The sequence below is a fragment of the Homo sapiens genome, chromosome 1 (assembly GCF_000001405.40).
Source record: "Homo sapiens chromosome 1, GRCh38.p14 Primary Assembly".
Lineage (NCBI taxonomy): Eukaryota > Metazoa > Chordata > Mammalia > Primates > Hominidae > Homo > Homo sapiens.
Window position 1 is genome coordinate 64,458,256 of NC_000001.11, and position 13,485 is coordinate 64,471,740.

Below are 13,485 nucleotides of genomic sequence, written 5' to 3' on the forward strand. Positions count from 1 at the left end.
CTAAGTGGTAAACAGAATATGTGAATAATGATGTTTGTGCTCTCATGGTGATGGGCAGAGAAACTGGGTAGAAAACTCCACAGGAAGGATGAAGGTGAATTTGATATTTTAATATTAGTCATATTGGCATGGTGTTTTCATGGAAAGTTGTGAAACAACCTTATTTGGACATATGAGAAAAAGATAAGCCACACTTACTTGCAATCAGAGAAAGTAAATGGCTTGTCTAGGTTCCCTCTTCATCTCCAAGGAATATCATGTGCCTAAACCAGAGGTTACTTTAGGGAGGACACGTGTTCCACATGGCCAGTGAATGCATTTATTTTACCTGCCTGGTCCCAGTCAGTATTTAAGGTGATATTTCTACAAACATCTGATAGTCTCCAGAATGTATTCATTCACTCATTCATTCATCCATTCATGTATTCATTTTTATTCATTCATGTATTCCTCAATTCAGTAAATGTTTATAAAGTCCCCACTATGTGCCCTATGCCACTGAGAAGTAAAATATTAAAAGACTAAAAACAAATTGCTTTTCCCCTAAAGGGAATGTCTGCCCTCTGAGAAAGACAGTCAAGAGCCACTAATTGCAGTGCAGATGGACAAAGGCAAAGACTGGCACAGGGGGCATCATGGGAGCATCAGGAAGTGGCTTCTACCTCCACCTGGAGTACAGGGCAGAGTGGTCAAGAAAGGTCCCCTAGAGGGAGGTGATTCCAACTGAATCTTCAAAATTTAGAATGCCTTAGCTAGGTGGCAAGGTAAGGAAGGCAGGGAAGTGTAGCACCAGGGAGTCAGAGATTCTAGTAGCTCATTTTGGCTGGTGCACAGGATGTAAATGCATGCTGGAGGAGGGTGTGGGGAGGGGTGGGGACAGAGAGATGCCTGTAGGTCCAGACCATGCAAATCTTTGTGTGCTTAAGAATTTCCATTTCGTTCTAAAGATTATGTGGGATCATTGATAAATAAATACAGGAGAAATGAAATGACTTGATCAGGCTCAAGAAAAGACCATTCATGGATGACTTAAAAAATAATCTCAACTTTTATTTTAGATTTAGGGGAGTACATTCGCAGGTTTGTTAGATGGGCATATTGTGTGATGCTGGGGTTTGGAGTATGGATGATCCCATTACCCAGGTAGTGAGCATAGTACCCAGTAGGTAGTTTTACAGCTCACAACACCCCTTTTCTACCTCCTCGAGTAGCCCTCAGTGTCTATTGTAAGGATGACTTTTTTATTTCAACCTTGACACGCTCAAGTTGCCCTTGTGTGTCCCCACCCCTGAGGGTGGTCAGGCAGGAAGTAGGTCTGCCAGTCAGTGCTATGAGCTGAGGGGAAGAATACTAATGTTAAGACGCTGACCAGGCATGGTGGCTCACACCTGTAATCCCAGCACTTTGGAAGGCCAAGACAGGCGGATCACGAGGTCAGGAGATTGAGACCATCCTGGCTAACATGGTGAAACCCCATCTCTATTAAAAATACAAAAAATTAGCCGGGTGTGGTGGCACGCACCTGTAATCCAAACCACTCAGGAGGCTGAGGCAAGAGAATCACTTGAACCCGGGAAGTGGGTGTTGCAGTGAGCTGAGATCATGCCATTGCATGCCAGCCTGGGCGATAGAGCAAGATTAAAAAAAAAAAGCCTCATGCCTGAGAGTGACTAATCCAAATGTGTCAGAGATGACACTGAAGTAGTGGGTCCAACATGGATCATCAAACCCAAGGGCACTGAAGGAGAGACTCTGGGGTCAAGAGTGAACTGAAATAGGCCAGGGAAAACTAGAGATGGCAGGTGGAATGAGAGGTCTTCTGGACTTGTTTTGGATGTTTCCACTGCATGTTTTTAGTACCGCACTAGAAAAGGCTTGCTTGGGTACTTAAGGGTTCTTGACCCCTGGGACTGTAGGGTAAAGTTGCAATGCTCAGTACGCACACCCATTGCGTAGGAATTCTGGAATTCTCCACTGTTGTGGGGACATCAGTACAATAGCAACACTGATCTGAAAATGCCTAGCACAATGTCTGCCTCTTATAAAATTCCTCACTTGTAGTTACTTGTTCTTGCAATTACCAGTTCAGTATCTGTCCTTGCCACCAAGATGTAAGTGCCGAAGGAAAGGGAATGTGCCTGCCACATCTCTGCTCTCTAGTATGTAGCCAAGTTCCTGGTGTGAGTGAATGATAAACAATTTTAAAATCTGAGGCCAGGTGAGGTGGCTCACACCTGTAATCCTAGCACTTTGGGAGGCTGAGGCGGGTGCATCACCTGAGGTCAGGAGTTCAAGATCAGCCTGGCCAATATGGTGAAACCCCATCTCTACTAAAAATACAAAAATTAGCCAGGCATGGTGCTGGGTGCCTATAATCCCAGCTACTTGGGAGGCTGAGGCAGGAGAATTGCTTGAATCCGGGGGCGGAGGTTGCGGCTCTGCACTCTAGCCTGGGTGACAGAGCGATATTCCATCTCAAAATAAAATAAAATAAAAATAAAATCTGAATCTGGTTTGCCCCATTAACCGCTAAGATATTTATGTACTAATTCAAGGTCAAGTCAGTTGGATGACATTGATAAACTATAGCATTTATACCATTAGTGCTTCTGATCCTTCAGAACATTTTGTGGTTAAGTTCCTCTATTTTGGCTTTCATACAGAAATGTTTAGATAGCCCAATTTTTCTGAACAATAGTTTCCACCTTTGCAAAATGGATTTGATCATAATACCTAAGCTGTTATTATGAGTCAGGATAGCACTTAATTAAGAATGATAGCCTGGACTTAAATAATAACACTAACACATATTACTTCTGAAACCTTGGGTAAAAAACTCAATCTTGTGAAACCTCAGTTTCCTGGTCTATAAAGTGGGGATGATTATATCTACTTAATATGTTCTCTGCAAGAATAAAATAAAATAATTCATTTAAAACACTTAGTGTAGTGCCTGGGACCTAGTGAAAGCACAATAAATGTTAACTATTATTATTATGACTCATAGAGTTTTAAGGATTGAATGAGATCATTTCATTTAAAACATACAGCATCACCCAAAGGACTATAAATCATGCTGCTATAAAGACACATGCACACGTATGTTTATTGCGGCACTAGTCACAATAGCAAAGACTTGGAACCAACCCAAATGTCCAACAATGATAGATTGGATTAAGAAAATGTGGCACATATATACCATGGAGTACTATGCAGCCATAAAAAATGATGAGTTCATGTCCTTTGTAGGGACATGGATGAAATTGGAAATCATCATTCTCAGTAAACTATCGCAAGAACAAAAAACCAAACACCACATATTCTCACTCATAGGTGGGAATTGAACAATGAGAACACATGGACACAGGAAGGGGAACATCACACTCTGGGGACTGTTGTGGCATTGGCAGAGGGGGGAGGGATAGCATTAGGAGATATACCTAATGCTAAATGATGAGTTAATGGGTGCAGCACACCAGCATGACACATGTATACATATGTAACTAACCTGCACATTGTGCACATGTACCCTAAAACTTAAAGTATAATAATAATAAAATTAAAAAAAATAAAAAATAAATTAAAAAAATGTTTTGCCACCTCAAATTAGTTTTTAACAAAATTAAGTGGGGTGTAAATAATTAGCTAATAAATATTCACCATGTAATTAGCTATTTCTAATTTCCTTGAACTTATGTATTGTTTTAGACATTTTCAAAGAGAAATACATAATATGCTTTTCTAAATATTTACTGTAATGAAATAATTAAAAATGTTTCAGCACACACACACACACACACACAAAATACAGCATCATGCCTAGAACCTAGTAAGCACTCAGAAAGTGTTAGCTAATATTAATAGTTATCTATTAATATTAATAGCTATCTATCTACAAGTGCCTCATGGCCTTTCCACTTGCTGTTCCCTATGTCTTGAAACTCTTCCTTATAATATTAATATAAATAGCTAGTATTAATAGATAATTATTAATATTATTTCCATATATAATCATTGTTGTCTGTGTTTTGTTTTGTTTTGTTTTTTGAGACAGTGTCTTGCTCTGTCACTCAGCTGGAGTGTAGTAGTACAATCTCAGCTCACTGTAGCCTCAACCTCCTAGACCCAAGCAATACTCTCACCCCAGCCTCCAGAATAACTGGGACTACAGGCATGCACTACCACACCTGGCTAATTCTGCTTATTTTTTGTAGAGATAAGGTCTCACTATGTTGCCCAGGCTGGTCTCGAACTCCTGGGCTCCAGGGATCCTCCTGCCTCGGACTTCCAAAGTGCTGGGATTACAAGCATGAGCCTCCACACCTGGCCTGCCTGCTTTATTTGTTTTGTTCCATCTCTTGTATTGCAGCCTCAATAGGTGGTTTAAATCTCTTATTGCTAATTCACTTTGTATATTTCTATGTCTTGCCTCCCTAGCCAGTGAGTGAGTGCCACAATTCTCTATGGGTTTCTTGCATTTTTGCATGCCTTGTGAGCAAGATGTTAACCACTCTTTTGTTCTGGACTATATTTTCAAAGACTTCTGCTTACTGAACAGCCTGGGCAGGTAGAGATAGTGTCTTTCTTTAGAGCAAAGGGAAAATTTGCTTTCTGTTCAATATATTAAACATATATATTTCTGGGGCAAAGGGCAGTTTTGTTTGCATTTCATCATAAAAGATTTGGGCTATCTAAGCTTGGGGTTTCTCTCTTTCAATACTACCTGTTGTATGCAGGTGTCACCTGGCTCTCTTCATATTGCCCTGTGGAAACTGGGTCTTGGAGGACTGGCACAAACGCTGACACTCTGGCTACTGCTATCGTTCTGAGCAATAAAGCCCTTTGTCTCTAATTCAGGAGTCTCATATCTTCTGCCAGCATCATGAGGCTGTGGTGGGTTGACTTGTTGGCTTGCAAATGGCATAACCTTTCACAGTTCCTAAGAGTGAAAGCAGATATTTGAAGGAAGAGCGTTCAAGACGGAACAGCAACAGGAAAGGCCGTAAGGCACTTGTTGGACGTAATATTCTCTGTCTTGATTCTCTGTCCTTTCTGATACCTGTAAAGTTCTTAAGGACAGCCAATCATATTCATCTTTATATCCCTAGCACCCAGCAAAATCATTGGCATATAGCAAATGCTCAATAAATGTTTGTTGAAATTAACAGGAAAAAATAATTGCTGCTTTGGAAATAAGGATGTTTCTTGGGCAGCGATTCATGGGGTGCCAAATAATATAATTTCTTTTCTTTTTTCTCATTCAGAGAGAGGCACATGATAGAGTTGCAAAATAATTGAGCTGGGAGTCAAACAGACCTGGGTTTCCATCCCACCTCTGCTGTTACTAGCCTGTAACCTTGGTCAAGTTACTTTACCTTTCTGAGCCTCCTTTTCCCTGTGTATAATATTGCAATGATCTTGTCTTCCCTATTTTGATGCTTAAATGATAGAATATAGGAAACATACTAAGAGATTAAGAAATGAGTCCGGGCATGGTGGCTCACTCCTGTAATCCCAACACTTTGGAAGGCCGAGGCAGGTGGATCACCTGAAGTCAGGAGTTCGAGAACAGCCTGGCCAACATGGTGAAACCCTGTCTCTACTAAAAATATTATATGGGCATGGTGGCAGGCACCTGTAGTCCCAGCTATTCAGGAGACTGAGGCAGGAGAATCTCTTGAACCTGGGAAGCAGTGGTTGCAGTGAGCCAAGATCCTGCCATTGCACTCCAGCCTGGCTCACAGAGTGAGACTCCATCTCAATGAAGAAAAAAGAAAGAAAGAAAGAAATGATATGCTGTGTGTCATATACAGCACCTAACCATAGAAGGGTTTTAGTAACTTGTACCTCTCATGGTTATTCAACCTTTACTGTCTCCCAGTTTGAAGGGAAATGGGAAACCTGATGATTTCTTAAATCAGCAGAAGAATGTGAAAAACAGAGAGAGTCTGTGTTCTAAGATTCAGTCTAGACCATTAACCATTTCCATTTATTTAACAACAAGTCGCTGGGCATGGCAGCTCATGCCTGTGATCCCAGCATTTTGGGAAGCTGAAGTGGGAGGATCATTTGAGCCAGGGAGTTTGAGGCTGCAGTGAGCCAGGATTGCACCACTGCACTCCAGCCTGGGTGACAGAAGGAGACCATGCCTCAAAAAAAGATTTTTTTAACTTAAAAATTAAAAAAAAAAAAATCGTAAGTTGGCACTGGCTGAGATTTGTAGTCTGCTAGAAATTAACAAGTGAGTGTTAATTTCTGCCCTAGGAATTACCAGTTCCATTCTCCTGAGCTCCCTGAGTTCACAGGTTCGATATAGTTTGCAGCTGGTTATTGTTTTATTTATTTATTTTTTATTTTTTTTTGATACGGAGTCTCACTCTGTCACCCAGGCTGGAGTGCAGTGGCATGATCTTGGCTCACTGCAACCTCTACCCCCCAGGTTCAAGCGATTCTCCTGCCTCAGCCTCCCGAGTAGCTGGGATTATAGGTGCACCACCACGCCCAGATAATTTTTGTACTTTTAGTAGAGACAGAGTTTCACCATGATGGCCAAGCTGGTCTTGAACTCCTGACCTCAAGTGATCCGCCCGCCTCAGCCTCCCAAAGTGCTGGGATTACAAACTTAAACTACTGTGCCCGGCCCAGTTATTGTTTTGAATAGGAGACCTGCCTGTAGCATTAGGCTGAGAATTTGTTGCTAACTTGGGTCTTATGTCCACCTCAGAGCATGTAAAGGGAATCACGGTAGCTTGGGAACTCCATACCACATTTCTGGAATTCTGGCCAAGAGTTCCTCAAAACAATTTCATATATAGTTTTTCTGTGATGAAGATCTTGGACAATGGGTACCATGAGGCGGCCTATCACTGAAGTAGCTTTATAATTCCCAAAATATGGAAGAGCAGCCAGTTTGATGAGGACTCTTGGTTATTCTTTAGCAGTCAAGGAGCAAAATTGTTACTGTAGCTCCTTGCATGAGAGTTATTGATTCATGGATTTTTCTAATTTTTCCCCCAATTATTTGGTTCAACAATTCTTGGATTTCTACTCTGGGTCTAGAACTATGCTAGACTCTGTGGCAGTGAATAAAACAGACATAGTTCCTGATAGGTCATTCCTCTGTAGGTGGTTAATAGAACACACCATGAGAAACATTGAGATGGAGAAAACAGACTTGCAAATGGACAATTGCAATATTAATTGCTGGAGCTTCTGGAAAGGAAGCAGATAATGAACAAGTGTCCAACTCAGTCATAAGCAAGGGGTAGAGGATTACTCTGTGGAGAATATAAAATCATCAGACAAGTTTCATGGTGATCTGTGGTCTTCTAGGGACAGTTGTGACCCACTTACCAGTCTTTTCATTATTTTGTAGTTCAAACAACTGCACAGTCAATAGTGTCCTCTCTGTATAGAATGGATGATTGAACTTATCTATAGAGTTACATCAAGACAAAAGACAGAAGAAAAGGGTCTATTATTAATAGAACATATAGACTGGATTTGGAATGAGAAAGTTCTGAAATCAAGTCAGTTCTGGCTCTTGGTGACAGTCTCTGTTACAGGCCATAGGTTCTATGTACTCCACTCTCCCCTGTCTGTGATTGGCTTTCTTAGCTCATTCATGGGGTCTGCTCCTTCACAGCTTCAGCTTGCAGAGTCACACTGCTACTTAATGAGTGTGTCAATGTACCAGGTCCTTTGCAAAGTGTTTTATGTGCCTTTTCACAAAAACTTTAGGTCGCATTATTTACATTGTACGGATGAAGCAACTGAGGCTAAGAGAAGTTAAGTTTTACAGAGACGACAGCTAAGAAGTATTGTCCTTGGGATCCAAACCCAGATTTTGTCCAAGATTCACACTCTCAGCTTTGCTATATGACTATGTGTGTGTGTGTGTATATATGTATACATACACATGTATACACGTGTATATATACACATACACATGTATACACGTGTATATATACACATGCACATGTATACACGTGTATATACACATGCACATGTATACACGTGTATATACACATGCACATGTATACACGTGTATATACACATGCACATGTATACATGTGTATATACACATGCACATGTATATATGTGTATGTATATACATACACATACATACACGTGTATATATGTGTATGTATATACATACACATGTATATATGTGTATATATACACATATGTATATATACACATATATACACATATGTATATATACATATATACACGTATACATATACACACATGCATATATATGTATATGTATTTGTATATATACACACACGCATATATATGTATATGTATTTATATACAGCCATCTAATAGCTATATTTATTCTATATCTATATCTGTGTACATATATATGTATACAGAGGTGTATACATACATATATGTGTGTGCATATCAGGGAATATATAGCCATGTATATACATCTGTGTATATATTTGTGTGTTTGTGTGTGTATGTATATATGTGTGTATATATATGCCTATATATTTTCTGCTATATACATTATGAGATTCATGGTTCCTATGGCCCCCTCTCATATCCTTATAGTTTTAACTACTACTTCTAACTGCTTTTTCCTCAGTATTTCCTAACTAAAATTTTTTAGAATGAAGTCTTGTCCCAGTTAATATTTCTGCCATGCCTTAGGTGCTGTAGATTGGTTGCCTTGATGTCACATATCTATCCTGGTCCCATCAGTTGACCCCCCCTGGGAAAGAATCAACTAGTACTGAGCAGAGATTGATGGGTAGGACAATTTCACTTATATGGATGAGGAACATTAAGGATTGGCAGTATATCACACAATAAGCTTTTATTGGTCTATCATGTACCAGTACACATGTGGGTAAATGTTCTCTCTGACGTCAGACTAGTAGCTCAGAGCTTTTGCTTTGGTGTTTGAAGGCCCAGGTTTGTATACTGACACCACCATCTAAAAGTTGTATTACCTTGGGCAAATAACTTTATTTCTTTGAGGCTTTTCTCTATTGGCAACATAGGAATAGCCATAAGTTCCTTTCCGGGTACTGAGACCCTCCTAGCTATAGACACTGGGCTAAATAGAGCTCCAGGATGCATGAGTTACCATCCTGGCAAGCTTGCTTGCAGTCTAGCATTAGTTCATAAGACTAATGTCAGGGCGGGGAAGGGGGGTCTATAAAATGCATATTCCAGGACCCACCCCCCACCTCCAAAGATTCTGCTTTAGTAGACCTGGAATAGAGCACAGGATTTGCAGTTTATTAAGTGTCCTGAGGCTAGTGTGTTTGGTGGATCACACTTTGAGAAACAAGGTGGAGAAATCAAAGCTTTCAAGTGGAAAATCACAATGTTGCTTGTTAAGCGCTGAGGGGACATTAAGTGCTGAGAGAAGAACCAAGAGCTTTGGAGCACCAAAGAGGAGCCGTAAACTCTGTGGGGGTAGGTGTCACAGAAATGACACCTCAGCTGAATAGGGGACCTAGCAAGTGGAGAGAAGGGGAAGAATTTTGAGGCTGCCATATAGGTGTTTTCTGGGAGTGGTGAGGCAACTGAGGGGCACAGTGGCTACAAAAAGGCCAGAAGAGCAAACAGGGTCAGAGCACAAAGGGCCTTGTTTGTTAAGTTTACTTATCTGTGATGGGGCATCAGAAATGTTTAGATTAGTGAATGACAAGTTGAGATTTGACTTTTAGAAAGTTGATTTTGACTTCCATGTGAAGAACAGAATGAGGGGGAACAGAGAGACTGCACAGAGACCCATGAGGAGACTGGTCATAATACAGGCAAGCTGCAATGAGGAACTGAAGTCAGGCCATAGGATGCAGATGGACAGCGGGGGATGGACACGGGAGATATGTTGGGAGCTGGGGTGGATGGAGAGTGCGTACCTAGCTTGCAGAGTGGGTGACATCCACCTAGATTTGCAGCCAGACATGGATTTAGGTGGAACATGGGGGAAAGCAGTAATGAGTTTTCATTCAGGTATATCTACTAGAGAAGTCAGGAACTTGCTAGAAAAAATGGAGATCCAGGTTGAGCTTTATTTAGAAGTATGATAAACTCGTGTTTGGTAATAATTGAAGGCATAGATGTGGTCGAGAGTCCTCAAAAAGAAGAACCTTAGAGTGAAAAAAAGGTGACATTGGATTAGCATCCCAAGAAATAGGACCTCAAGAAATACCAACATATAAAAGATGGGCAATAAATGCCTATTGTGAAGGCATTTCAGAAGGAGTTTAGAGATGTGTGACACCTTGGTGATGGTAACCTTGAAGAATCAAATAAAAAAATAATGCTATATGTCATTATTATTTTTGTTCTTTACTCTTCCACTAATCACATGGACTAATATGCTTTCTCTTGCGGAGTGTCATGTCAAAGGTACAACAATTTAAAAAACGGAAGTTAAAGGATCATCTTTCTAACAAATGTCAGCTCAACTCCAGGAATAGAAGACATACAGGTAGGTTTTTACCTCATTATTAACTCAAGAATCATTTTTCCAGTACTACTATGTGCTTGTGTGGATGATGTGGAGGTGAAGGGATTGGTCCCCACACTCAACATGCTTGCCTTAGTATGTAAAACAAACATCACAGGCTAGGCGCAGTGGCTCATGCCTGTAATCTCAGCACTTTGGGAGGCCGAGGCAGGTGGATCACCTGAGGTCAGGAGTTTGAAACCAGCCTGGCCAACATGGCGAAACCCTGTCTCTACTAAAAATACAAAAATTAGCAGGGGAGTTGAGAATGGAGAAGTGATCTCAATGAGGTAAAAATGGGCCAGGGAGAGCTTACAAGAGAAGATGACTTTTTAATACAATATAGTCAAAGATGTAAAACAGAAGGTTTTGCTGTAAAATGAAAAGAGTCCTAAATCCAGGTTCTAATCCTGCTACCACCTCTGCTAGGTAACCCTGGACTAGTCCTTTAACCTTCCAGTGTTGGCTCTGTTCTCCAGGAACCTGCAAGCAGCAACCACACAGGGCTTGGAAGGGAGAGTGGCTGTTCTCCACACACAGCAGGTTGACTTGTTCCAGGTGCTTCCAACAGGTGATTTCTCAGCGAGCCTGAGCCAGTAGTCAGGGACAAACAGGAAGGTTAACCTTGCCTCTCCATGCTTGGGAGAACAGGTGTGTGCGCGGTGGACTCCGGTTCAGTCGTTCTTTTTCTTTTTTCTTGCTTTTGATGGGATCAGATGGTTCATTTCCAAAGAGAGACAGAGAGAACTGTATCGTATTTAGGAGCAATAGCCTTGGAGTAAGACTTGTGCTTAAACTCTGGATTTGTTTCTTATCCCCTGGGTGACCTCTGGCAATTTATTCCACCTCTCTAAGCCTCAGTCTTTGTTACCTAAAAAATTGGGATAAAGATACGTACCTCCTATGGCATGTCGCGGAGATTAAAGGATAATGTGCACACCCCCGAGCCCAGTGCCGGGCACACGGTGGCTGGTTGCAACAGAAATCTGTGGGTGGAACGCTAGCTAGCCATTGTGATGAATAACATCAAGGAGAGGGAGTGGACCTACACATGGCAGTCCCCTTCTTCCCCAACCGCTGCCAGGCAGACAGCCAGCGTCCTAGAACTTAAAGGACTTTTCGATGGCTGGAACCTGGGCCGGGTGGGCTCCCTGGCGCGGACGGAGGCGGGGAGCGCTGGCGGGGGTCTCCGTCTCCAGCCACGGGAAGGTCCGTGGGCTCCCCTGCCCGGGCTGGGCCGGTCCCCGAGCAGAGAGAGAGGCTGGTCCCCCGGCCCCCGGCGTCCCGGGGGGCAGGTTCTGAGGCGGGAGCCAGGGAGAGAGAGGAGGGGCAACCGGGGGAATTTCCCCGCCTCTCTTGCTGGTTCCATAAATCACCGCAGCCGCCGCGGCGGCCCAGCCGGGAAGTGCACAGAGCCGGAGCGCAGCGTGGTGGCACCAGACGCCTCCCTTTCCCCACCGCTTGCTTTCTTTCTTTCAGTTGTGTGGGTTTGTGAAGCCTCCCCTTTCCCTCCTCGCTCGGGTGGCTGCCCCAGTCTCGCAGCCCGGCCGCCGCTCCTCTTCCCCGGGGGCCGCCGTCAGTCCTCGCCGCCGCCTGCTCGCTGCGCTGGGACTCGCAGGAAGCGAGAGCCGCGCGGCTCGGCTCGGGCTCCGACTCCGACTCCGATTCCGACTGTCAGCCCCGGGGCCCGCGCACCCCGGCCTGCGGGCGCCCCTGCTCTCGGAGACGCCCTCTGCGCCGCGGGGCCCGTGTGGGCGCCGGGCTCCGGGGACCGCTCGGGCGGCCGCCTCCTACCCCCACCGCCGCGGAGCCCCGCGATGGTGGCCGCCCGCGCTCCCGCGCTGTAGCCGGGCGCCCCCTAAGTTTGGGAGCCTTCGCCACCGCGGCGCGGAGCAGAGCCTGCAACAGAGGAAGAAACTTTTGCGGGGTGCGCCGCGCTTTTGCGGGGGGCACCTCCCGCGGCCCGCTTCCCCGCGCCCGGAGCCCGTCGGCGGGGAGTGGGGGGAGGCAGCATGGCCCGCCAGCCGGAGGAAGAGGAGACGGCCGTGGCCCGGGCGCGGCGGCCGCCCCTCTGGCTGCTCTGCCTGGTCGCGTGCTGGCTCCTGGGCGCCGGGGCCGAAGCCGACTTCTCCATCCTGGACGAGGCGCAAGTGCTGGCGAGCCAGATGCGGAGGCTGGCGGCCGAGGAGCTGGGGGTCGTCACCATGCAGGTAAGTGGCCCCCGAGCTGGCCAGACATCCCGCCTTTCTCCTTTGCTCAAACTCCCATCCCACTCCCGGTACAAGTCCCCTGGACTGTGTGCATCGGCTCCTTGCATACATAGAGCCCGGCTTCCCGTCGGACCCCTCTGTCCTCTGCACAGACCCCCTGACAATACACCAACTCTTCTTCCATGCATTCGTCTACCCCTGCCCTTCTCTGGAGAATCCCCTGCCCTCTGCACGGAACCCACTTGACCCTGCACAGCCCCCCTCTTCTGAGTACCAGCGCCTTCATCTCGTCAAGGATTCTCCAGTTTCCTCGCACGTCTTCTCTAATTTGCACACATTTCCCATGTAGGCTTGTTTTCACCCTGCCACGCCTGCAAACTCCCCCTTTGTGTCCCCATCCCAGAGCAGCCAGCCCCGTCTGGCTCGGACGATTTTCCGAAGTCCCCACCCCACCCCCTTGACCGCGTCCTCGCGTCCTCGCGTCCTCCCTACCGAGGCGCACCAATGGGCGCCGGGAGGGAAGGCGCCGCAGAGTACGCAGCTGCCCCGGGGACACCTAGGTCCCGGCGGAGAGCGGCCCTCCGAGTGGGCTCCGCGCTCCTTTCCCCTCCCGGGAGCATGGGGGGAGGGGCTGGCCTGGTAGATTCTGGGTAGACTCCCGACTCTAATCCTGCTGGGGGACTCTTTTTGTTGCTTTCCGCATATCCTGCTGTAGTTTGCGTGCTGTCTGCTGTATGATTTTTGTTTCGTGTGTGCCTTTTTGGGTCGAAGAAAAAGGGAGCAAAGTGAATAAGGTTC

The 13,485-nt window shown here is 45.0% G+C and overlaps 1 protein-coding gene and 1 long non-coding RNA gene across 3 annotated transcripts in view, besides 1 other annotated feature; one reads left to right on the top strand and one right to left on the bottom strand.

Moving 5' to 3' along the window:
- Nucleotides 1–10,017: 10,017 nt before the first annotated feature.
- On the bottom strand, nt 10,018–11,770 carry LOC107984966 (uncharacterized). The gene is made up of 2 exons (XR_001738100.2): nt 10,931–11,770; nt 10,018–10,115 (listed from the first exon to the last, which is right to left on the bottom strand). It is a non-coding gene; the product is annotated as an uncharacterized LOC107984966 (long non-coding RNA).
- A 103-nt stretch (nt 11,771–11,873) lies between these two features.
- Nucleotides 11,874–13,485, top strand: part of CACHD1 (cache domain containing 1) — a 222,925-nt gene continuing 221,313 nt past the window's right edge. For both annotated transcript variants that reach the window (NM_020925.4, XM_047426234.1), the window contains exon 1: nt 11,874–12,687. In NM_020925.4, coding sequence (NP_065976.3) covers nt 12,490–12,687 — 198 coding nt within the window. In that variant the 5' untranslated portion in view covers nt 11,874–12,489. The remainder of the gene's footprint in view (nt 12,688–13,485) is intronic.
- Nucleotides 12,084–12,203: a silencer, noted in NCBI's record as "silent region_955". NCBI's record gives its function as "represses an Ori minimal core promoter by ATAC-STARR-seq in GM12878 lymphoblastoid cells {active_cell/tissue: GM12878}" and the evidence as "EXISTENCE:reporter gene assay evidence [ECO:0000049][PMID:35858748]".